The 25157-nt window shown below is 41.6% G+C and overlaps 1 pseudogene, besides 1 other annotated feature; it reads right to left on the bottom strand.

The window, feature by feature from the left end:
* Positions 6066 to 7265: an enhancer, noted in NCBI's record as "CDK7 strongly-dependent group 2 enhancer chrX:119870341-119871540 (GRCh37/hg19 assembly coordinates)". NCBI's record gives its function as "activates an origin of replication core promoter dependent on BRD2, BRD4, P300/CBP, MED14 and CDK7 cofactors, with strong dependence on CDK7, by STARR-seq in HCT116 cells {active_cell/tissue: HCT116}" and the evidence as "EXISTENCE:reporter gene assay evidence [ECO:0000049][PMID:35650434]".
* On the bottom strand, positions 9893 to 10793 carry GLRX5P1 (GLRX5 pseudogene 1; annotated as a pseudogene).

Genomic DNA, 25157 nt, shown 5'->3' with positions numbered 1-25157 from the left:
TCACATGCCGGAGTGTCCTAGTCTGACCATGCTGACGAGTCTTTAGCCCCAGTCTGGCCAACAGTCTGGCTCAAGCCCATTGGGCCTCTCGTCTTAAGCCTTGCCTCTACCATGCTTTTGTGAACCCAGCCCTCATATCATCTGAGATTAGGGGGAAAGGAAGTAATTGGAAAAAGGCCACTCATGTCTACCACAGGTGGCCTAACAGTGTCTCAGAATCACTGTACTCCAGGGTTTCTTGGGAACAGAACAGAGGGGCAGAAATGATCCACACCCACCTCCATTCCACATCTTTTTATTACCCCATAAAACCACCCAGGTGCCTGTGCCTTTCAAACAACTCCTGAGCACAAAACCCTGGGAAGAGTATTTAAAGTGTATTGAGGGTGGTTTGTGTTCTTCTCAGGGGCCTCACTCTCAAGTAGGCCAACTTGCCCTTTAGTGCTGTGACTAGGCTAAGGTAGGTAAGTTAACACTAAGCCTTCCCAGTCCAACTCCAAAGAGCACGTGGGAAAAACTCCTTCCTTACAGGAGCCTGCGAGACATCTGCAGGGAAACAAACAGCCCCTCCTTTCAGCTCACTAGTCCAAAAACTACTTTTGCCAAGCATTGATGCTGCTTCCGGTTCCATCTGTCTTTCACTTGAATCCGCATCATTTCTCTTATTTAAATAGCCAAGTGAGGTCCTGGTGGTCCTCTCTCATTCTCATATTTGGTTTCTTTATTTCCATGGGAATAAGCATGAGGCCTGTAAGCAAGTGTCCTTTTTGCTTTCTCCTATTGAATATTCTACATGTAGTGGCTTCCTTTGAGTCCTACATTTTTGTTTATCAGGATAAGTTGACTTTAGGCTGAAAGTTTCAAGGGCCTTGACTGATTTGGGTTGGCTGTTGGGAAAAGAGATTTAGGGTAGAATAAAGCAGTAGGGTTTTCTAAGGCACACAAAAAGGAGAAAAGATAAGTAGGGGACAGGGCTCCTGAAAGACCAGCTGTTCCATCCAACTCTATCTTTACGCACACTATCAGTAGGGGCTTATTTAAGACAACATTCCACCTCCACCCCCCCACACACTGTTCAGCTCATTAGGGGGTCTACTGGCTTCTCAGAGCTTCCAGCAGTACTAAGGGAGATGATCTAACTCCAGCCGCTAAGGGTGTCCCAGTAGCAGAAGGCTTCTTAGGCATTTTGCCTTATTAAGCAGACCAACAACATGGTGCTCCAAGGGATAACTACCTGGGAATAGGGTTGCCAGATACATTACAGGATGAAACATTTGGGATATGCAAATGCTAAAAAAAATCTCTTGTTTATCTGAAACTCAAATTTAAGTGGACATCCTATATTTGTATCTGCAAAATCTGGCAAATTAGCAAATTTAGCAAAACCCTACCCAGAGACCCCATATGCGACTCTAAATTATCCTCTGATAAAGGGGTGAGAAATAAGGGTCCCCCAAGCTAAAATGTACTTTTTTCAAATTGTCTAATGAGAGTCAAACTCTCCGGCCCTAACCCCAGTCCCCAAACATGCAATAAGAACGCATGACTAGTTTTTCTGTTAAGAGCAGCTGGCTATATCCCTGCCTCCAATTTTCACTTGCCCTAGGTTAATTGTCCACTTTTCTCACACAAAATGAACTCTTCCCAGGTGAACTCGGCCATCTGCAAGTTTTAGAGAAATGTGTAGAATGTCTCTACATGAGGCTAGGCATGGAGATAGTCACTTAGAGGTCTCCAAGAATGTTCTCTGATTGCTCCCCATGGAATCAGCAGAGTTCAGGAGGAAGAAGGAGGGAATTATCGTCCAGCCTTTCCCCTGTGACTTCTAAGTCCATCTCTTCAAGCCGCTGCAGCCTGCAATCCCCAGCCTGGCTCCAGTAGCTTTGTTGGTGGAAACATCATTTTGCTCACAAAGACAGACCGAGATTTTCATTTTATTAAAATAAAAGAAATTTAAGATAAGATTTTATGAATATTTAGAAAAGCAGCATGTTGCATGATATAAGACATATTTACATGCCACAGAAGGAGCACAAATATTGTACTTCCAGGATGCTTTGAAAGGTATTGGATTGTTCATTGTTTACTAGCCTCCAGGCATTATTACACAAGCTAGCTTGGGAAAAATGGTGACTGCTACAGAGGCTTGGAAAATGTATAGGACACTTTCAGATTTAAAGCTGCTCCTCCCAGTACTACTTGGCCCACACAGCACACAGAAAACAGACAGGCAAGGTGGTGGGCAGGTGGGTTTCACTGACACCTCCCGAAAGGGACATCATCTGAAAGTGACCGCAGGCCTTGGGGCTCTGGCTTTACAATTGTCAGCAGCTCATAGATTAAGCTTTAACAGAGGAATCCTGTCTGGTTATGGCTCTCCCAAGGCACCTAAGCTTGAAGTCTCTCACCATTTTATTCATTTAATCAACAAACATTTAATAAATTTCTATTGTGTGTCAGCGAAACTGAGAGAGCAGTGGAAAAAACTGATACAATCCCCAAACTTGTAGAGCTGAGGGACTAATGGGAGACACAGACAAGGAAATGAGCAATTACAATACATGATGTATAAGTGTAAGTGCTGGCCGGGTGCGGTGGCTCATGCCTATAATCCCAGCACTTTGGAAGGCCAAGGCAGGCGGATCACCTGAGGTAAGGAGTTCGAGACCACACTGGCCAACATGGTGAGAACCAGTCTCTACTAAAAATACAAAAATCATCCAGGCATGGTGGTGCACGCCTGTGATCCCAGCTACTTGGGAGGCTGAGGCAGGAGAGTCGCTTGAATCCGGGAGGTGGAGGTTGAGGTGAGCTGAGATCATACCACTGTACTCTAGCCTGGGCAGCAGAGTGAGACTCTGTCTTAAAAAAAAAAAAAAAAGTGTAAGTGCTATAGGAGCACAAGGAAGAACCCCTCACCCATTCCAAGAGCATCTGGGAAAGGACCCCTATGGAAACTGAGGTCTGAACTGAGGCCTAAACGATGAAAAGGAGTTAAGGGAAAAAAGCTGTTTTAAGCAGAGGGAACATGTCCCAGTGACCAGAAGGGAATTTGAGGAGTAGAGGAATGGAGGCATGGAGTTCGAGGGCTAACCATCATCATGCATAGCATTTAGCTAGGATGTCCTGTGGGCCAGTGCTTTGCTAAGCATTTAGCATACATTGTCTCATTGGAGCCTCACAGCATCCCTCAGATGAGGCACAGGGAGATTAAGAGCCTTACCAAAGTCAAACCTCTGGTAAGAGATGAAGACAGAATTGAACCCCAGCCATCTAGCTCCAGAGCCAACATTCTTAACCTCCACTCTATAAAGCGAAATCTATATCTCAAATGAATAAAACAAATGGTGGAACTTCAGCACAGGACTCTAGCCTTCACTCCTGGAGCCACCAACCCCAGCCATAGGTCCAAATCTATCCCAGCTTCTGGCCCTTTTCTGACCTCAGAACCTCTGTCCAGTCCCTGGTTTCTTGCCAATTACCCGTGCCCAGTCATGACTCTCCCTTTCTGCTAGATCCCTGGTCAGCATGTCAGGTTCCCAGAGCTGAGACTGACTCCCTAATTCTCATGAGAACTAAAGTCTTTCTTGCCTCTGAATCCCAGTTCCTAGTCCCCTCTTATCAGACCAACTGGTATCACACTATGCCTCCTTCTCTGGATTTCTTACTATTCTGGTTTCATTGACATCTGCAGATCACTTCCGTGTCTCTGTATTTCTGGCCGATCTCTAAGGTCTAGCCATCCTCAGTCTAGCCTGACCCGAATTGGGAGGAGAGAAGTGGAAAGAGACAGAGACTTGTGAAGGCAGGAAGGGCAACTGTATGAGAGGCTGAGCGAGTGGAGAGATTTGAGAATATGGGTAAGGCTGAGGCTGAGAGCCTAGAAGCAGAGCTGGCTTTATTCTTAGGTGGAGTATGTGACCCAGACCCTTCCAAAATACCCTATTCCAATAGCTACTTGGGGGAATGAAATCCCTTTAAGAGGATGTTTGCAAAGAACTGAGAATATAGAGCCCAGGTGAGGAGAAACACCTACTGTACTTAATGTTACAGTAGAGTACATGCCTTTCTAAATGTTCACTTTGGTTGAGGAGGACACTCAGTATCTGAAAGAAAAAGGGAGAGAACCTTGTAGTGAAGAATTGTAGCCAAAAGGGAGAGTTCAAGAATATTCACAGGCATAGATATCCCAACCAGGCAGAGATGACAACTTGACTCAGGTCCAGCCTTGCCTAGACATAGTGCCTTCATCATACTACAGATGTGGTTTCTTTTTGGATGTGGTTTCTGACTTTGTTTGAGCAGATGGCCCTGACAGAAAACTTAACATTATCTGCTGTTTATTATGCACTGCCCTGTAAGACCACCACATGTGTGATAGTCCCTACAATATAGGAAGGAGCCAATTGAAGAGTTCATATTTTGGGCAACTCTACTCCCTTTTTCCTACTCCAGAGTTTAGGGACAGCTGTTGAGCAAATGGAGGAGGCAGTTAGAACTAGCCCAGGGCTTCTCAAATTTTAGTGTACACATGATCACCTGCAGGTCTTGTTAAAATGCAGATTCTGACTCAGTAGGTTTGGGGTGGGATTCAGAGTTTGAATTTCTAAGAAGCTCCAAGGTAATGCTAATGCTATCAGTTGGGGGGACACACTTTAGATAGCAAGGCTATTTCTGCCATTCTGCATTCTAATACATTAACCTGCTTCCTCATAACCTGTGAAGTGCTGAACAAATATGAAGGAATCATATTGCACTTTTATTTGATGAACCTGCCAACCCTAAATAGAATGAACAAATAAGCCCCATGAAGGAGAGAGAAGAAGTGGTGGCTGCCCATTAACAACAACAACAACAGTAAAATTATACAGGCCAAGAGGGAGAGTTATATTTTCCCCAAGTTTCCTACAGCTGTTTATTGGTCATGGGGCGCATAAAACATCTTATGAATGTTTCACTGCCGAAGAAAAATTGCTTCAAGCTGAGCTAGGATAGGAGTTAGGTATTACCATGGATATGAATATATTTTCACAGTTCAGCTCAATTACCACATTGTTTATCATGTTGCTTTACAACATTGCAGACTATTAAAGCTACTTTTTCATTTTACAGTATAGGAAACTAAGGCTGGCCAGGCAGGTGATTTCAATTTGCTCAAAGTCACATGGCTAGTTAGTATCAGAACTGAACTAGAACCACCCAATGAGCACAGTGCTCTTTCTACTGCAAGGATTTGTTAAAATAGTGTCTGAACAGGGGAAAGATTTTAAGTTAATTGGTCACAAGTGGTCCCCATACCCTGCTGTGGGGAGCTTAGCGGAGGTTCCCTGAATAAAAACATAGTTTGGGACTGGAGAAGAAATTTTCCAGGCTCTCGGTCACTCAAACAAATAGACATCTTTTTGAGCATGGATTGCCCATTTGTTTATTCAACAAACACTTGTTGAGCCCTGTGCTGGCTGGGGATAGAAATTTTTTTAAAACCCACAGTCCCTGCCTTGACAGAGCTTAGAATCCACTGAGGAGAGACTGATGTATAAATACTAAGTTCAATAAACTCCCATAGCTATTGGGGGGGGGGGCACAAGAGATGGTTTCAGAAACGAAGTAATCAGCCAAAAAGGAAAGCAGGCCAGCTAATCACTGAGCATGATGTAAGGCAGAAACTTAAGTGCAGTATGGTCAGAGTTTAGTGTAAAGAGGGAGGGAGGGATCTTTGTAAGCTACAGAGTTCACGGAAGGCTTTTTGGAAAGGTTAAGTCTAGAAGTAAGCTTTGGAGTATGTGTAGGAATCATATAACCAGAGAGGATACTTCAGATGAGGAACAGCATGAGCAAAGGTAAAGATACAAGAAAGTATATTGTCTATTTGGGGATGGCCCTTCAGATATTAAGTTTAAAACTGTTCTTAAATCACCCTTCACCTTTTGCTTCTCTTTTGCCTTTCCTATAAGTACCTCTGGCCAGCAGGTTACATTTGAATTGTTTCTTTACTCTCCAACTTCACTCTTCATGCTCACTGTGCCTCTGGTAGTCTGCAAGGCCACCATGTACAGTTGTGCATGTTGTTCACTGCACAAAGGATACCCAGTCATGGAGGTGAATGGGGGCTGAAATCCATACTGCACTGTACTCACCAAGTAATGCTTTCCTTTCCTAGTTTGATACATGTGCTTGCTAGGCCATGCCCCCAACCCAAAAAGGAGCACTTTTTCCAGTTTACAGAAAGGTACCCTAGCAGTGGCTGAGGCACTAAATCATATGTAGATGAAAGGTAAATAAGTGAGGTAAATAAGATTTATCTCTGATTTGTTCCAGCTTCAAGTCTTTACAGCTGAAGCCACTAATGAAGCCACCACAGTTCCACCACAGTTTTTATGCTAATCATGACTAAAGTAGGAAAAGTAGCAAGAGCCCCAGGGACCCTTCAGGAAGCTTAGAAGTGTCACTTCCCTGGATCCTGCATGAGGTGACCCAGAGATGACCTATGCCTGATGTGGCTCCCTTGATTTCATTTCTCTCTAATCCTAAACTGGATGACTAAGTGGTACCATTTCCCCTGACTCAGTTATTCTTTCTCATAAGAAAACTACACTTCTGTATGACTCACAACCAAGCTTATTCCTTATTTCTTATCTCCCCTACCTGGCAGTACCACCAAAATCATCCTTAGAAATCAACTGGACACGCACTTGCCATACCCACCTACCATGGTTGGTAGTCTTGTGCCAAATCCTGACTCCCTTTTCCTTCCCACCTGTCCTGTGCCACCAAGAGCCACTCTTCCCCACAAGCTACCAATCGGAGCTTTCAGACCTCCAAGTTTCCCTGGCTTTATCAGGCTTAAAGGGCTAAGCCTCTATAATATAAAAACCCAATAGTACAGGGAGTCAAAGAACTCACCACTTGTCAAGTTTCTCTCCACTTGACAGTCCAGAGCACATAGGTGGCCTACTCAACTCATTCAGTCACTCATGGACTTGGGTTGATTCCTTCATGTTTCTCTGCCCTTCTGTAAGGCAACAGCCTTATCTGCCAGTTTCAAAGCTGAGTAATGTGTGCTATGGGCACATCCATATTTCTTCTGTTAGAGGAAAAAAGTAAAGAGAAGCACATGTGCAAAGTTTAAAGAGCTGGGCCTAGAAAAAGCACACATCACTCCTACTTACATTTCACTGGTCTCAGAGCCACACCAGACCACAAAGCGGGCTGGAAAATGTACGTAAGTACCTAGCTGGACATCCTCACCCTGGCTACAGGTCTATTATTAAGGAAGATGCCAAACTATCAGTAAAAAGCATCTATTTTGTCATAATTTTTTACCCATGATAGAAACTTCATGATCAAGTATAATAAAGTTCAACCAATTTAAATAGAATCAAACTTAATGTATTAATAAATGTGTTTAAAGCATAGCATATACTTTTCCCTTACGCACTGTTTCTCAAAGTGTGGTGCATGGACTCTGGGTGATCCAGGGCCACTGATCATTCCCAGAAACCTAGCCAGTGACAGAGGAAAAAGCAATAATATTATTTCTTTACATACCTTCCACATATTTGAGATGTAAGGCTAATTATGATTTTTTACAGCAATCACATTACATTCTTTTTGTCAAATTACATTCTTAACCATCCTTATGTATTTTTTTTTTGAGACATGATCTTGCTGTGTCACCCAAGCTGGAGTGCAGTGGTGCGATCCTGGCTCACTGCAACCTCCACCTCCCAGGCTCAAGCAATCCTCCCACCTCAGCCTCCCAAGTAGCTGGGACTACAGGCATTCACCACCACACCTGGATACCTTTGGTATTTTTTTGTGGAGACCAGGTTTAGCCATATTGCCCAGACTGGTCTTGAAGTCTTGAGCTCCAGTTAAGAGAATAAACTTCCGGCTGGGTGCGGTGGCTCACGCCTGTAATTCCAGCACTTTGGGAGGCCGAGGTGGGTGGATTGCCTGAGGTTAGGAGTTTGAGACCAGCCTGACCAACATGGTAAAACCCCATCTCTACTAAAAATACAAAAATTAGCCAAGCGTGGTGGCACATGCCTGTAATCCCATCTACTCAGGAGGCTGAGGCAAGAGAATCACTTGAACCCAGGAGGCAGATGTTGCAGTGAGCCGAGATCATGCTACTGCACTCCAGCCTGGGTAACAGAGAAAGACTCTGTCTCAAAAAAAAAAAAAAAAAAGAAAAAACTTTTGAGGAGGTCGAGGACCCCGAGAAATGAGGGGGTTTGCCTAATGTCAAGCACTGGGTGTGCAAACCTGCAGCTGCTGTGACAGTTTCTGGCAGTGAGTCTCTGACACGAACAGCTCCCTCTGTTCAGGGAGGACCCGGGCACCCTCACTTTGAGTCTTGGTCTTACTTTTCATCTAAAAGGGTGGAGCGGATCCCCAGCTTTTTCAGTTCTTCCACCAGGTCCCCATTCTGGTGCATCTGGGCTCCATTCCTTTGTTCTTCCCTCTAGCTGAGGAAAAATAACCACTAACCCTGAGGAGACAGCCTGTGAGGTTTAGCTCATAACTGACATGTGGGTCAAGTGAGGCAAACTGAATAGACTCCAACATCATAGCCTGGCATTGCTATTTACCCCCCTCTAGTAAAAACAAAATTCCATCTAGTTCATGACATCTGAAAGGAGGTATCTCACGCTGCCTGCTTGGAGGGCAATTCATTTGGAAATCTCTCTGGGAAAGCACAGAGCAGAGCTGATTTATGGCACCACCACAGGGTATCACTGCAAGCATCAGGACCAAGTGGAGGAAGTGCCACTGCCCAGCCCTGAGGCCAGCATTCCAGCCTGTGAACAAATCCTGTGGGTTGGAATGCTGCTGCTAACCCAATGAGATGGACTGCTGGCCCACGCGGCAGCCTCTGACAACACTTAACTGTGAGAGACCTGGGCTCTGGGGAGGCCTCTTCCTGCTGAGTCACGGCGATGTGACCACCAGGGTGGGAACCGAGCCCAGGAAAAGTTCTTTCTGGACTAGGTCGACCCTTGTGCAGATTACTGGTTCATGCTGAGTGCTTTTCCCTGAGACATCAGGGCCTCTGTCACCCTTTCCAGACCAGCCCCTCTGGCCACTGCCATGCCAGGATGTATCTTATGGCACTCTTGGGACTCTAGGGTGAAGAACCCACCAGATTTAGAAATTTTGATGACTCAGGTACATGGAAATGTGAAGGTCTCTCAAGCTATCAACAAAGCAAACAAATTTAAAAAAATGAACAAAATCTCTATCAGGGCCTGGCGCGGTGGCTCACGCCTGTAATCCCAGCACTTTGGGAGGCCGAGATGGGCGGATCACAAGGTCAGCAGATCGAGACCATCCCGGCTAACACGGTGAAACCCCATCTCTACTAAAAATACGAAAAAAAATTAGCCGGGCGTGGTGGCGGGCGCCTGTAGTCCCAGCTACTCAGGAGACTGAGGCAGGAGAATGGCGTGAACCCGGGAGGCGGAGCTTGCAGTGAGCCGAGACAGCGCCACTGCACTCCAGCCTGGGCGACAGAGCGAGACTCCGTCTCAAGGAAAAAAAAAAAAAAAAAAGTCAATGGGATTTTTGGGGCAGTAAAATTATGTTGATTTTTCCTCTTTTTATTTTGCTGTATTTTCCAAGTTTTATATTACTTTTATGTTGGAAAAATAAACTTTACTAAGGAAAAAAGGTTTGTCGAATATTAAAGTAACAATAAAAATAAGCCTGTGTGTGTGTGACAATATCATATAAGCAGTCGAAAATGCAAATATGAAGTAAGAAGATAAATGTCTGAAAATTTGATTTTATTAGACCTGCCATCCATTTGCCCCAGTCTCCAGCATGCTCTTTATAATAAAATGTATCAAATTGTAGCACGAAGTCATCAAAGCTTTTACATAACTTTCTTCCTGTGTTGGCAGTTTATTTAAAAAAAAAAAAAAACCCAGTTATCACAGTTTCTTCTTTGTCCATCGTTTTCCATAACGGAAGAAGCTATACATAATTTGGGGGAAGATATTGTCTTTGCAGACTGACATATTTGCAGAGGGGTCATGAATAATGATTCCAAAGCTCCTAGTTTAACTCCTGAATCAGGCAAAAAATAAATGGCAATATAAGAACAAATTTTGTTTACAGCAATATCATAATACAGCATTGAATTATTACAGTGCAGTGGTTGTAATTAAGCTCACAATAAAATCTTATTAGCCCAAACACCAGACAACCTAAAATCACCCGACTGCTCACGAACGGAAATGATCAGTGCAACGCAGTTGTCTCAGTAGTGAAAACCAAAATCGGTAAGGTTTTTCTGGCAGTGAGTCTCTGACACGAACGGCTCCCTCTGTTCAGGGAGGACCCGGGCGCCCTCACTTTGAGTCTTGGTCTTTCTTTTCATCTAAAAGGGCGGAGTGGATCCCCAGCTTTTTCAGTTCTTCCACCAGACCCCCATTCTGGTGCATCTGCAAAAGAATGTCACAGCCCCGCACAAACTCGCCGTTGAGGTACACTTGCGGGATGGTGGGCCAGTTGGAATAGTCTTTAATGCCTTGTCGCAGCTCGGGGTCGTCCAGCACTTCGTAGGCCGCATAGTCGCGGACGCCGTGCACCCACAGGATCTGCACCATGGCGTTGCTGAAGCCGCACTGGGGTTGCTCCGCCGTCCCCTTGAGGGAAGACAACCACTTTGTCCTTCACCAGTGCGTCCAGCCGCTCCCCTGAAACACCACCGCCCGCACCCGAGCCCGCCGCTCGGCCGAGGGACCCGCTCATCCCTGCATGCTCGCCGAAGCCCACGACGCCCCAGGTCTTTGGCTGGCCACCTAGAGCTCTCCTCGGCCCACGGCCGCTTTTACATAATTATTAATCAAAGTACAGTTAACCCTGTGATAAACCAATTGAATATTTTGAAAGCAAGCACGAAGTAATTCTTTGCTGTATGAAGTTGATGAATATTGTGACGAAGGCAGGGAAGATATAAAAGCTATGGGGGTTTCATTCAACGTTATTAGACCTCTTGGCAAAACAAGTACAAATCACTTCATTGCCAAGAAGCTTATAAAACCAGGCACAATATCAATGACAAAGTGACTTAGAGAAAGCAGAGTGAGTCATCAGCAGAATTTTTATAACAACGTCATAGGACATCCGTAATATCTATGGCACACAATATAAAAGGCAATTATTATCACATGTGGACACCAGCAGATATTCTACTTTAGAGACAGGTAAAAACACGGATATGCAGACTCTTGGCATAGGAGTGGTATGTACACACACAGACACACACACGCACACACACACAAACACACACGGGAGAAGTGCTCCACATTTTTGACACTGAAATCCCATGCTATAAGAGAAAAGAGGTTTTTTTTTTAAATTATGCTTGTTACCTTAGATACAGATTTTCATGCAGTTGTTGTAAGAAATACTGCAAAGAGAAACCATGTACCATTTTCCCGGTTTCCCCCAATGACAGTGTCTTGCAACACCATACAGTATCACAACCAGGATATTGGCATTGATACAGTCAAGATACAGAATGGTTCCATCACCACAAGGATCCCTCATGTTGCCCTTTTATAGCCACACCCATTATCTCCAACTCCACCCCCTTCTTAACTCCTAGCAACCACTCACATGTTCTCCATTTTTATAATTTTGTCATCTCAAGGATGTTATACATTTGGAATCATATATAATCGGGTCATTGCCTTTTTTCACTTAGTACAATTTTTGTAAATCCACTCAAGATGTTGTACATATCAATAATATGTTCCTTTTCATTTGTGAGTAGTGTTCTATGCTATGGATATACCACAGTTTGCTTAACCATTCACATGTTGAAGGACATTTGGGTTGTTTCCAATTGGGGGCTATCAGGAATACACTGCGGTGAACATTTGTGTACAGGTTCTTGTATGAACATAAGTTTTTAAATCTCTGGGATAAATGCCCATGAGTGTAATTGCTGGGTTGTATGGTTGTTGCATGTTTGGTTTCATTAGAAACTGTTCAACTCTTTTCCAGAGTAGCTGTACCATTGTACATTGCCACCAGCAATATAGGAGAGATCTAGTTTCTCTTCATAAAAGGAAAGGTTTTTAATTTAGTTAACAAGTGGTTTTTTTTAATGAGTCATGAAGTAGATTGGAAAAGGGGCACTGCGGCCAATTCTGAAGAGCATTAGCCATGACTGCCGCCCAGAAATATGTAGCAAATAAAAGAGGTTGCACCCGTATGTGAAGCCACTCACGACTTGATTAACAATGATCAGCAACATGCCTTCTGATCACAGTTCAGTATTGAAAAAAACAAATACTGTGAGTATAATAAAATTTTGGCCCCTAAGAAGATGTCTTCCCAGCATGCTGTACAAAGAAATAAGCAGTAAATACTAATCTCCACTTTTCCACACTAAGCATGCCAGCTGTTGAGAGAAGCTGCTCTCCCATAACTTTTTGATACAAGGGATAGGGAAAGGGACCTTATGAAAATGATAATGCCACTAAAGAGCATTTCTCATATTCAAATGCCTTGCTGAAGACATATTTTATAGCCACATTTTCAGAATATTAAAGAACCTGTAGTTATTAGCTCAGTGGTGAAATACTGCCATGTTTAATGTTAAAGATAAAATAATCAGAATTTTTTAAGAAGACTGAACTATGATGCAAACAGCTTTGTCACTAAGAATTTGATTCTGTCCCAACATGTGGAGACTTTATGCACTTCTTGAAGAAAGAAATCGACTATATATGATTGGGTATATGTAAATATCACGTTCAAGTTCTTCAGTGGAACTTGTAACCACACTTTTTTGAACTAAATGCAGTCAAAGTGGTAATTTAGGAATGCACACCCATCTGTTTCCCAAGTTCAACTATTCTGTCTTCTAGCCTTTGACTGTGATTTGTTCAGGGACTTTAGTATCTGATGGAGTGCTTCAAAGTACTATCAGGGAACCGTCCTTGTAATATCTAGCTTTTTGGATGTATAATATCTATAGGTTTGATAAGGCCACTAAATACTTAAGGCAGTTCCCAATGACCTAGGATTCTGAATTAGAATTTTTAACTTTTTATTATGAAAAACTTCAAACATGTACAAAAGTAGAGTAGATAGGATAATGAAAGTCCAGGTATTCACTACCCAGATTCAATAGTGGAATAAATGCTTCTGGTGCCCTACATCACAGCCTCTTTCTCCACCTTGCTCAGCCAGAGCTGGGGTAGACAGTTCTATGTAAGCTCAGACTCACATCACCCTAACAAACAGTATCCTGCCCCAAAATCAAGTTTCTCTCTTCTGCTTCTGCCCTCAAGGCCTTCATGAAAGCCAATCCACATGAAAACACCTCCTAGCCTTGGAGATAACCCTCAAATGAGGGGGACAATAACTGGTGGATGAGAGCTGCAACCTCTCATCCATCAAAGGGAGAGTTCTGGGAGAATGTTCTATAGCTTCCCCCAAGCAGTCTAACCAGAATTCAGCCCTTGTTGCCCAATGCAGCAACCTCATAATGCACCTTTGCACTGACTTTTTTTCTTTCTCTAATTCTCCTTACTACCTCGCTCCTGCTTCCTGGAATAACACCCTAAATATACTAACTGCACCCATGTCCTTGCCTCAGACTGCTGTGGAGGAATCCAACTAAGACAAATAGTTTAAAATTTTTTAGCACATATACACCATGGAATACTATGCAGCCATGAAAAATGATGAGTTCATGTCCTTTGTAGGGACATGGATGAAGCTGGAAACCATTATTCTCAGCAAACTATCGCAAGGACAAAAAAACAAACACCGCATGTTCTCACTCACAGGTGGGAATCGAACAATGACAACACTTGGACACAGGAAGGGGAACATCACACACCGGAGCCTGTTGTGGGGTGGGGGGAGGAGGGAGGGATAGCATTAGGAGATATACCTAATGTAAATGACGAGTTAATGGGTGCAGCACACCAACATGGCACATTTATATATATGTAACAAACCTGCACGTTGTGCACATGTACCCTAGAACTTAAAGTATAATAAATAAATAAATAAATAAATAAATAAATATAAAAATTAAAAAAAAATTTAGCATTCTTATTTCACCTATCCTGTAATATTGTGGAGCATTTTAAAGTGTTTTTAAAGCTTGACTTTTTAAAATTTAATAGAAATAGGAAGGAAAGAAATCAACTCAACATGGAAGCTGATCTGTGATCAAGCTGTGTGTCACCAAGGTAAACCTATATACCTTGGTGAATTATTGCCCCTAAATATCATCTCTTTCCTTAATATAAAATCATTATTAAGTACATTATTTCAAATAATACTTTAATGTGATGGTGAAATGAAAAATATGATGGAGATTCATTTTAGTTTACCTCAAGGATGGTCTGTGTCAGCAGGGTGCCCTTTTTTTCCCCGAGACAGAGAGACAGAGTCGTGCTCTTCCACCCAGGCTGGAGTGCAGTGGCACAATCATGGTTCACTGCAGCCTCAAACTTCTGGGTTCAAGTGATCTTCCTGCCTCAGCCTCCCAAGTAGCTGGGACTACAGGTGTGCACTACCACACTCGACTAATTTCTTTGTGTATCTTGTTGAGATGGGGTCTTCTATGTTGCCCAGGCTGGTCTCAAACTCCTGGCCTCAAGCGATCCTCCAACCTTGGCCTCCCAAAGTGTTGGGATTACAGGCATGAGCCACCATGCCCAGCCCAGGATGCCCATTATGTGGCTCTTGAAAATGAACTATGAGGCCGGGTGCAGTGGCTCATGCCTGTAATCCCAGCACTTTGGGAGGCTGAGGCAGGTGGATCACCTGAGGTTGAGAGTTCGAGACCAGCCTGGCCAACATGGTGAGACCCTGTCTCTACTAAAGACACAAAAATTAGCCAGGCATGGTGCCTGTAATCCCAGCTACTCAGGAGGCTGAGACAGGAAAATTGATTGAACCCAGGAGGCAGAGGTTGCAGTGAGCCAAGATCGTGCCACTGCACTCCAGCCTAGGGGACAAAGAAAGACTCCATCTAAAAAAAAAAAAAAAAAAAAAAAAAAAAAAAAAACAACTATGAGAAATGCTGACTGTTCAAAAACTCCCCAGGGCTGTTCACAGGAGTCTGTGAACTTCATCAAAACGTATGCTGATGTGTGTATATCCACATGTTCAGTCATTTTCCTGGAGGAAAAAGTCAGTAGCTTTCACCAGATTCTAAAGCAAGTCCTTGACCAAAAAAGGGTTAAGAAACACTGATGAAGGGATATCGGGCACTATGACCTCTGAGTAGGGATGACTTTATTGTAGAGAGAAAGTGCTTCTGGAACTCTTTAAATCATTCTACGTGGCTGATCATCATCTTCACCAAATTGCACAGTTAGCCTCATTATGTGAATCTAACTAGAATTGATATGATTACAATAAAAGGATTTTTCCTGCTCAAGGTCTAGTTTATAAAGAAATTGAATTTTCCCCTCAAGGCTTCATTTATAATAAAATGACTTTTTTTTCTTTCTCAAGGCCTTGTTTTCAACATCTGGATTACATGATCTGGTTCCAATATTTTCCTCAAAGCTATCTCTCCTAGCCTCAAAGAACTTTTGAGAGTTTGCCAATCAACAGGAAAAACATTTAGATTACAATACATGCTCTTTCCAGACTAGCCCTAGTTCTCTCAGATATTTCTGTACCCTGAACTGGTGCACTTCCAGGAATATGAGGGATTTTGCACCAGCTGTTGATGAAACAATTCCTTCCACCTGTGTCTTGTCCAGTCCCTAAATTACTAACTCAGAAAGGAAGTTGGAAAGTTAAAGAGGCACACTTTCTCTAAGGAGCCTTAATTAGGTTTGGCATTTGAGTTTGTGGTGTTTTTCTTTCCCTATTAACAAAGGACTATTTGTACATCATAAATAGAAGTAGAGGAAGAAAATGATATCTTAAATCATCCACTTAAAAACCAAGACAAAAATGGTACAGGTGGCTTTTTAAAAGAAGGAGGAAAAATCCCCTCCACATAAGCCCTTTTCTTGAATAGGCCTCTAACTAGCCCTGGTGCAGCTGCAAGGATGCATTTAATGATTCTGTGATTTATTGCTCTACAGAGGATATTCTCAGCCATCATCTGCAGAAGAGGCCCTAGCAATATGTAGAATGGGAGACTAAGAACGTATTGGAATGGGCTAAATTTTCCATGTGGTTTCCATTTTCTTTCTTATTGTACATCAAAAGTATTTTTTTTAAGAAAACGATTTTTAGCCATCACAAATATCATAAAAGCACCCTGCCCCTAGGGCAGCTTGCAGCAGGCCTGAGCCAGAAACTGTGACTAGAAAGAGAAGGAGCTCAAAACATCCTCCATCTTGAAAGGCGAAGCTTCCTAAAGCCAGTTCTTCGCACAAAATCCTCTCTGATCTGAAGACCTATGACTTCTATTGGGTGTCCCCAGACTAAGTCACGATTGTAAGGTAGTAAAGAGCAGCTAATATCGACTGAGCACTATGGGACACCAAATGCTTTGGGTCATTTACATGGATTATTTCATTTACTACTCAATTTATTGTCTCCATTTTACAGATGAGGAAACTGAGAGCTGAGAGAAGTTAAGTCACTTTACCCAAGGGCACAAAGCCTATGAATGGAAAGCTAGGATTTGATCCCTGGTTTGTATGATTTCAATAGTAGTGCTTTTAACTACTACATAGTTGTCACCCCTTTCTTTTCTTCTAGGGTCCCTCCCTGACCACAAATATAATATAATGTCAGGAATTCCTTATACTATCCCCTAGCTACCTAGGAACTAAAACTACAGTAACCATCTATGCCTGTCCTCCAGAGTAATGCCCCATTGTACAAAATTTCCCATATTATCTAATATCTCCCCATGGAACTCTGGGTTTCCCATCAAATCTTTCAATAAAATTATGGCTTTAAATAATAAAAATCATTTCAGGTCCTCCTAATACTAATTGATAAATTTTTCTTGTATATATCCACCTACCCACATAAACACGCATCCTCTTATTCTACTAGTTCACCTATATTGAGTACTTACTATGTGCCAGACATCAAGTTAATCACTTCACATGAATCTTCTCATGTGCTTCTCCACAGTAACCCTATGAGGTAGCTGCTATTATTACATCTGTTTTACACATGAGAAAACTGAAGCTCAGAAAAGCTCCAAAGTTCAGAAAAGCTCCAAGCAAGTGGAGGAGTTAGGGTTTGAATTCAGATGTGTTTCACTTGAGAGCCCAAACCCCTAAACCACTACATTCTACTTCCCCTTTTCTTAACAGTGATAAGTCATGTTGATCGTACATACCAGTCATATAATGTGGTCAAAATAGCCCTTTACTTCTGTGGAGTTCCTCCCAAATCCCACAGCCCCAGCATAATTATGAGAAAAACATAATACGAATATCAGTGGAGGAACTTTCTAAAAAATACCTAACCAGTACTCCCCAAAACTGTCAAGGTCATGAAAAAGAAGGAAAAAATTCCAGGTGACATCTATGAAAATGATGGAGTAGGGAACTCCTGTGAAAGTTCTCAGAATCAAAATGGAGTCACTGTGGAAAAAAAAAATGACAAATAGAGCCAGGGAAGACCATGAAGGGAGGATTCTCATGCATAAATGACAGATAACAAGAACTTTCAGAAAAGACTGCAAAAACCACAACCTTGCACAAAGGCCATCACAACCTCACACACACAAAAATACTTCTGCAAGGATATCTGCCCATCAGCTGCCTGTCCAGCCTTGGAGTGATGCCACCCTTGTTACTGATCCTTGTAGCCAAGGATAAGTATCTCCAAACAATTAAGTAATCCTCATTTTTCTTTTAAAAACTTTGTCTTCATCTACCTCCCCAAAAACGCACATAGTTTACTAGGACACATATTAACATTGCAATGCTCTATTCCTGAATACATATCATTTTCTTTTGGAGGGCCTCTCTCTGTTTGTTATTTAGGTTGACATAAATGGTGTGCAGAAGTGGGACCTGAAAAAGATCTCTATCCGAAGGAATTGGTGATTATTGGAACTGGTGTACAGCACTCACTTGAGCCCTTTGAGCTCTCTGCTTCTGCAGCCTAGTTTTTCTGCCCTGATGAGTCTTCTGTCAGGCCAAGCCTCTCTCTTTTTGTAGATGATTTTGACTTTATTCAGGACTTGGTAATAAGGCCACCTTAAAAAGAGACCTTACATTCCTCCTAGGATGATAAAAGACTTTTTGTCTTTCTGGTATAAAGACAATGTCCTTCTGGTTTGAGTACTCTAGTTTCTATAGAAGTTACACCCTGTCTGTGAGACATGTCTTTTTCTGGTGAATTTACTTTTGGTTCTTTCTACACACCCAATTTAATATTTTATTTGATCTCCATGCTTCATTTAAAATTCTTATGAGCACTCTAATTTTGATTTCATTTTGGTTTGGTTTTGCATCTCTATAAATGATTTCTCTGTTTTCCCTTGCTTGTTTCTAAAAATCTTCTGAGAGCAAAAATAAAAAATTGTAAATGGTGGGCACAAGGAGGCTGGTCAAAGGCCACTAGGGTGGCTGGGCATGGTGGCTCATGCCTGTAATCCCAGCAGTTCGAGAGGCCAAAACAGGAGGATCACTTAAAGCCATGAGTTTGAGACCAGACTGGGCAATAAACCAAGAGGCCCCCATCTCTCCAAAAAAAAAAAAAAAAAAAACTAGTAAAACTAAAAGTATTTAACAGCCACTAGGGCGATCACCACCATCTAAAACATTAGTCCAAACTCCTGACAGTCTCTAATAGGATTTATAAGATTTTCTTTGCTTTCAAGAGATTAATAAGAAATGGAATGAGATTCTTAAACATTAAGGCATGCCAGGTTTTCTGGGATTCCAGCCAAGTATATTAGAGATTCTAGCGCATATGGTTTGTTTGTTTGTTTGTTTGTTTTTGTTTTTGTTTTGAGATGGAGTCTCACTCTGTCGCCCAGGCTGGAGTGCAGTGGCACAATCTCGGCTCACTGCAACCTCCACTTCCCAGGTTCAAGCGATTCTCCTGCCTCAGCCTCCCAAGTAGCTGGGATTACAGGCGCCTGCCACCATGCCCAGCTGATTTTTTGTATTTTTAGTAGACATGGGGGTTTCACCATGTTGGCCAGGTTGGTTTCAAACTCCTGACCTCAAGTGATTCACCTGCCTCGGCCTCCCAAACTGCTAGGATTATAGGCATGAGCCACCGCGCCCGGCCTAGTGCACATGTTTAAAATAATGGGCAAACTACATCAAGAAAAGTTCAGAGCTCAATGGCCATTATATAAACTGTCTGAGCTTATAAAAAAAAACCTGAAACCAACTATAGAGTTAATACAGAGAGCCTTCTAAGTTCTCTATCTCTCTACTGTTTTTCTGCCTATTTTGAATCTGCTGACTTTTCTACTGGTATTGAGATAAACTCACGACTTGTGGCGTTCCAGCCAAGAAATAAAAGGTCTTAAAAGGCTTTCAAATTAACAGCTTTACAAATTACAACATCTCTATGGCAACCAACAACCTAGACCTAAGAGACATCCCTTTTAACATAAATTTAGGTTTACCTAAATAGCAATAGCTTAGGGTGATGGAACAGTTAATTGAAGAATTAATATTCTATAAGAAATAGAACTAGATAAATGTGTATAAAAGCCTCTCTACTCAAATAGGACAAAATCTTAAGCTCAGAGCAATTATAATATAAGCTATCTTTGTCCAACATAAAAATTGCTTTGTCTGCCATGCAGGGGCCAAAAAAAAAGCCAGAAAAAAAAACTGGAAAAAAAAGCCAGAAAAAAAAGGACGCTTCCCTGCCCACATTAACTTGTCACACAAACCAAACCAACAAACGAAAGATAGATTTGTTAATAAAAATTTAAGGCTACTTGGATATTTGGGTTTCCTTATACAGTTTAGCCAGTTCTAGCTAGAATGTACACATTAAAATTTTAACCTTATATTCATTTGAAACTGAAAAAAAAGGGGGGGGGGACAAAAGGCAAACGGGATTAAAAAAAATCAGGACGCTTTACTCAAAATTTTGGTCCACAGCCTTCATTAGATTACCTATTAGGGCAAATAAAGTTTATTTAGCCTTATGAACAGGTCCCACGTTGTAAGAAGTATAATTTGGATCTAATTACCATTTATAAACTGATGAGTTTTTATTATTATCTCATGGCTAAAATTCCAAAATGAAAGTTATAAGATTCTATGTGAGTGTATATGTATATACGTACACATACTATGTTGCATGTTGTGCCTACATAGTAAAATCTGGTGTAGTCAGCCAGAAATGCCTTAAGAAATTCTATTCAGATTGGTGTAAATACGAATATCATTCAAGGCTACTATGAACACCTTTATGGGCATAAACTAGAAAACCAGAAGAAAGGGATAAATTCCTGGAAATGTACAATCCTCCCAGATTAAGCCAGGAAGAAATAGAAACTGTGAACAGGCCAATAACAAGCAGCGAGATTGAAATAACTAAAAAGCTACCAACAAAAAAAAGTCACGGACCACATGGATTCACAGCTGAATTCCATCAGACATTAAAAGAATTGGTACCAATCCTATTGACACTATTCCAAAAGATAGAGAAAGAGGAAATCCTCCCTAAATCATTCTATGAAGCCAGTGTCACCCTAATACCAAAACCAGGAAAGGACATAACAAAAAAAGAAAACTACAGACCAATATCCCTGGTGAACATAGATGCAAAAATCCTCAAAAAATACTAGCTGTAATTGAATCTAATAGCATATCAAAAAGAGAATACAGCATGATCAAGTGGGTTTCATATCAGGGATGGTGAGATTGTTTAATATATGCAAGTCAATAAATGTGATACATCACATAAAGTTAAAAACAAAAATCATATGATCATTTCAACAGAAGCAGAAAAAGCATTTGACAAAATCCAGCATCCCTTTACGATTAAAACCCTCAGCAAAATCAGCATATAGGGGACATACCTCAATGTAATAAAAGCCACCTATGACAAACCCACAGCCAACATTATACTGAATTGGGAAAAGTTGAAAGCATTGTTCCATTCCTGAGAACTGGATCAAGACAAGGATGCCTACTTTCACCACTTCTGTTCAAAATAGTACTGGAAGTCCTAGCCAGAGCAATTAGACAAGAGAAAGAAATAAAGGGCATCCAAATCAGTAAAAAGGAAGTCAAACTGTCACTGTTTGCCAGTGATACAATCATATACCTAGAAAACCCTAAAGACTCATCCAAAAAGCTCCTAGATCTGATAAATGAATTCGGTAAAGTTTCCTTTACAAAATAAATTTACCCTGCTATATGCTATACACCAAGAGCGACCAAACTGAGAATCAAGTCAACCCCTTTTACAGCAGCTGCAAAAAACAACAACAACAACAACAACAACTTAGGAATATACCTAGCCAAAGAGGTGAAAGATCTCTACAAGGAAAACTACAAAACACTGCTGAAACAAATCATTGATTAACACAAACAAATGGAAACACATCCCATGCTCATGGATGGGAAGAATCAATATTGTGAAAAATCACCATATTGCCAAGAGTAATCTACAAATTCAATGCAATTCCCATCAAAGTACCATCATCATTCTTCACAGAGCTAGTAAAAACAACCCTAAAATTCATATGAAACCAAAAAAGAGCCTGCATAGCCAAAGCAACACTAAGCAAAAAGAACAAATCTGGAGCCATCACATTACGTAACTTCAAGCTATACTACAAGGCAGTAATTACCAAACCAGCATGGTACAGGTATAAAAACAGACATGTAGACCAATGGAACAGAATAGAGAATACAGAAATAAAGTCAAATACTTACAGCCAACTGATCTGCGGCAAAGCATACAAAGACATAAATTGGGGAAAGGACACCCTATTCAATAAATGGTGCTGGGAAAACTGGCAAGACACATGTAGAAGAATGAAACTGGATCCTCATCTCTCACCTTATACAACAATCAACTCAAGATGAATCAAAGACTTAGATCTAAGACCTGAAACCATAAAAATTCTAGAAGGTAACGTCAGTAAAACTCTTCTAGATGTTGGCTTAGGCAAAGAGTTTATGACCAAGAACCCAAAAGCAAATGCAACGGAAACAAAAATAAGTACATGGAACCTAATCAAACTAAAAAGCTTCTGCACAGAAAAAGAAATAATCAGCAGAGTAAACAGACAACGCACAGAATGGGAGAAAATATTCACAAAACTATGCATCCAGGGAAGGACTAATGCTCAGAATCTACAAGGAACTCAAATAAACTAGCAAGAAAAAAAAAATAACCCCTTCAAAAAGTGAGCACACAGCATGAATAGACAATTCTCAATAGAAGATGTACAAATAGCCCACAAACATGAAAAAATGCTCAACATCACTAATGATCAAAGAAATGCAAATTAAAATGACAATGAGATACCACCTTACTCCTGCAAGAATAGCCATAATTTAAACTAAAAAATAACAGATATTGGCATTGATATGGTGAAAAGGGAACACTTTTACACTGCTGGTGGGAATGTAAACTAGTACAACCACTATGGAAAACAGTATGAAGACTCCTTAAAGAAGTAAATGTAGAACTACCATCTGATTCAGCAATCCCACTACTGGGAATCTACCCAGAGGAAAATAAGTCATTATATGAAAAAGATACTTGCACACGCATGTTTATAATAGCAGCACAATTCGCAATTGCAAAAATAAGGAACCAACCTAAATACCCATCGACCAACTAGTGGATTAAGAAAATGTGGTATATATACACCATGGAATACTACTCAACCATAAAAAGAAATGAAATAATGGCATTCACAGCAACCTGAATGGAGTTGGAGACCATTATTCTAAGTGAAGTAACTCAGGAATGGAAAACCAAACATCGCATGTTTCACTTATAAGCAGGAGCTAAGCTATGAGGATGCAAAAGCTTAAGAGTAATATAATGGACTTTGGGGACTTGGGAGGAAGGGTGGGAGGTGGGTGAGGAATTAAAGACTAGACGTTGGGTGCAGTGTACATTGCTGGAGTAATGGGTGCACCAAAATCTCAGAGATTACCACTAAATAACTTATCCATGTAACAAAAAACCACCTGTTCTCTAAAAACTAATGAAACAAAAATAAAAAATAAAAAAGAAGCTCCTTCAAGTAGTTTTTGGAACAATTTCATCTCATTGTTTTAAAGTCATACCATGTCTATCTTAAAATGAGATGTATGTTAATTGCATACATAATTTTGTTGAACTCCCGTCTTTGCCAGGCACTGTTCTAAGCATCTTACAAAGATCACTACAAATATTTATGAATTCTCACAATAACCCTGTGGATAGGCACTATTATTATCTCTGTTTTATAGGTATAGGAAATGAGAATAAGAAGGTAAAGTCATTTGCCCAAAGTCATGCAGGTAATTTGTAAAACCAGGATTTAGAGTTAGATCTCTATGATTCTGGAGCTCTAGCTCCTTTCACTGCACCCAGAACCCCAAAGTTCATTCCATTTACCTGATTCTTCCACTCTCTTTAACTGCTGTTAAGCTGTTCCAGATGCTTCTGACAATGTCATTCTTTGTTTGAATGCTTGGTTGCCTCTGGCAACAGCTATGGCTGCCATCAACATACCCAATGTCTCTGCTGCTATCACTGCTGTTACCCCACCAAGGTGTCAGGGATACTCCCACTTCCTACAGTAATTACAGGAATTTTCTTCCTGACTCAGATTCCTGGATCTGTGTATTCTAACTATAAAGGATTCGGTACTGTATACTGACCAGGGGACCAAGGCATGTACCACATCCCTGCATTTAATATATATCTGCCAGCCCTACAAAGTTTTATCCTCCTTCTGGCACCTTGGCTGAGACTCCAACAGCTTGTCCTATTATTATACCAAGCATTCTGTAAGCCCTCAGACAGTGGTGCCAGCATAGGCCACGTGGGCAGAAAAGGCCAATCCATATCTAGAATAGATAACCATTCTGCTGAAGAAGAATTGCTGTCCCCTTCAGGATAGAAAGGACCTAAGTAATTGACCTGACATCAGGTAGCCAGTTGGTCTCCCTAAAGAATGATGCTGGATGGAGAGCTGCTGGCAGGTTGAGATTTTAGCTATGGATCTTTGCTGTGGCAGGTGCTAGGTCAGCTTTAGTGATAGGAAGCCTACCCACTGGGAGTACTTCCTTCACCATTGTTCTTCAGAGCTACTGTAGAGTGGGGATATAATGAGATAGCAATCCCCTTCCACATAGTGCCAACATATTGCACTGACCCATCTGTGAATTAGGCCTGAATCCTTTCCTTCTCTATCAGATGACAGCAGCAGACCCCTCAACATGATGCAACATAGATGTGGGCTGAAAGAGGAGTGGTGGTGCAGTGGAAACAGGTGACTTCTGTCTGGGCCATCTGCTCCTACATTTTATTCATGCCTACTAAATGCGCTTAAGCCTAGGCCACGATAGATTGTTGCTGCTCATGCCCATCCTTATAGCTTGGTAGATGAGACTACACCCAATTTATTATGAGAAACTCATACTGCACAGTCATTTGATGCCTGTAGTGGAGACACTCTAAGGCCCCCTCATGAGTCACACTTGTATAATTCCCTCCCCTTGAGTATAGGTGGAACTTGCCACTTGCTTCTAGGCAATAGTGTATGGCAACAGCAATGGGATAATCCCTCCCATGATTATGTTACATTATATATAAGACTCAATCTTGCCAGGCTGAAGTGAGAGTTTCTCCTGCTGGCCTTTAAGAACTAAACTATATTATCCAGGTCTGGTGGGGTGTATCTGCAGTCCTAGTTACTGGGGAGGCTGAGGCAGGAGGATCACTTAAGCCCAGGAGTTTGAAGTTACAGTGAGCTATGATGTTGCCGCTATGCTCCAGCCTGGGCAACAGAGTGAGACACAGAAAGACCCTATACTGTCTCTAAAAAAAAAAAAACAGAAGAAAGAACTAAACTGCAATGTTGTAAAATGACCTGTGAGAGGGACATGTGGCAAGGAACTGTGGGCAGTCTCTAGGACTGAGAGGTCTCTGGGCAACAACCAGAAAGAAAACAGGGATCTCAGTCCTATAGCTGCAAGGAATTTAATTCTACCAACAACCATGTAAGCTTGAAAGAGGATCCCAAGCTC

The sequence above is a fragment of the Homo sapiens genome, chromosome X (assembly GCF_000001405.40).
Source record: "Homo sapiens chromosome X, GRCh38.p14 Primary Assembly".
NCBI lineage: Eukaryota > Metazoa > Chordata > Mammalia > Primates > Hominidae > Homo > Homo sapiens.
The sequence above is the reverse complement of the archived record's forward strand: the minus strand, read 5'-3'. Positions and strand labels throughout refer to the sequence as shown.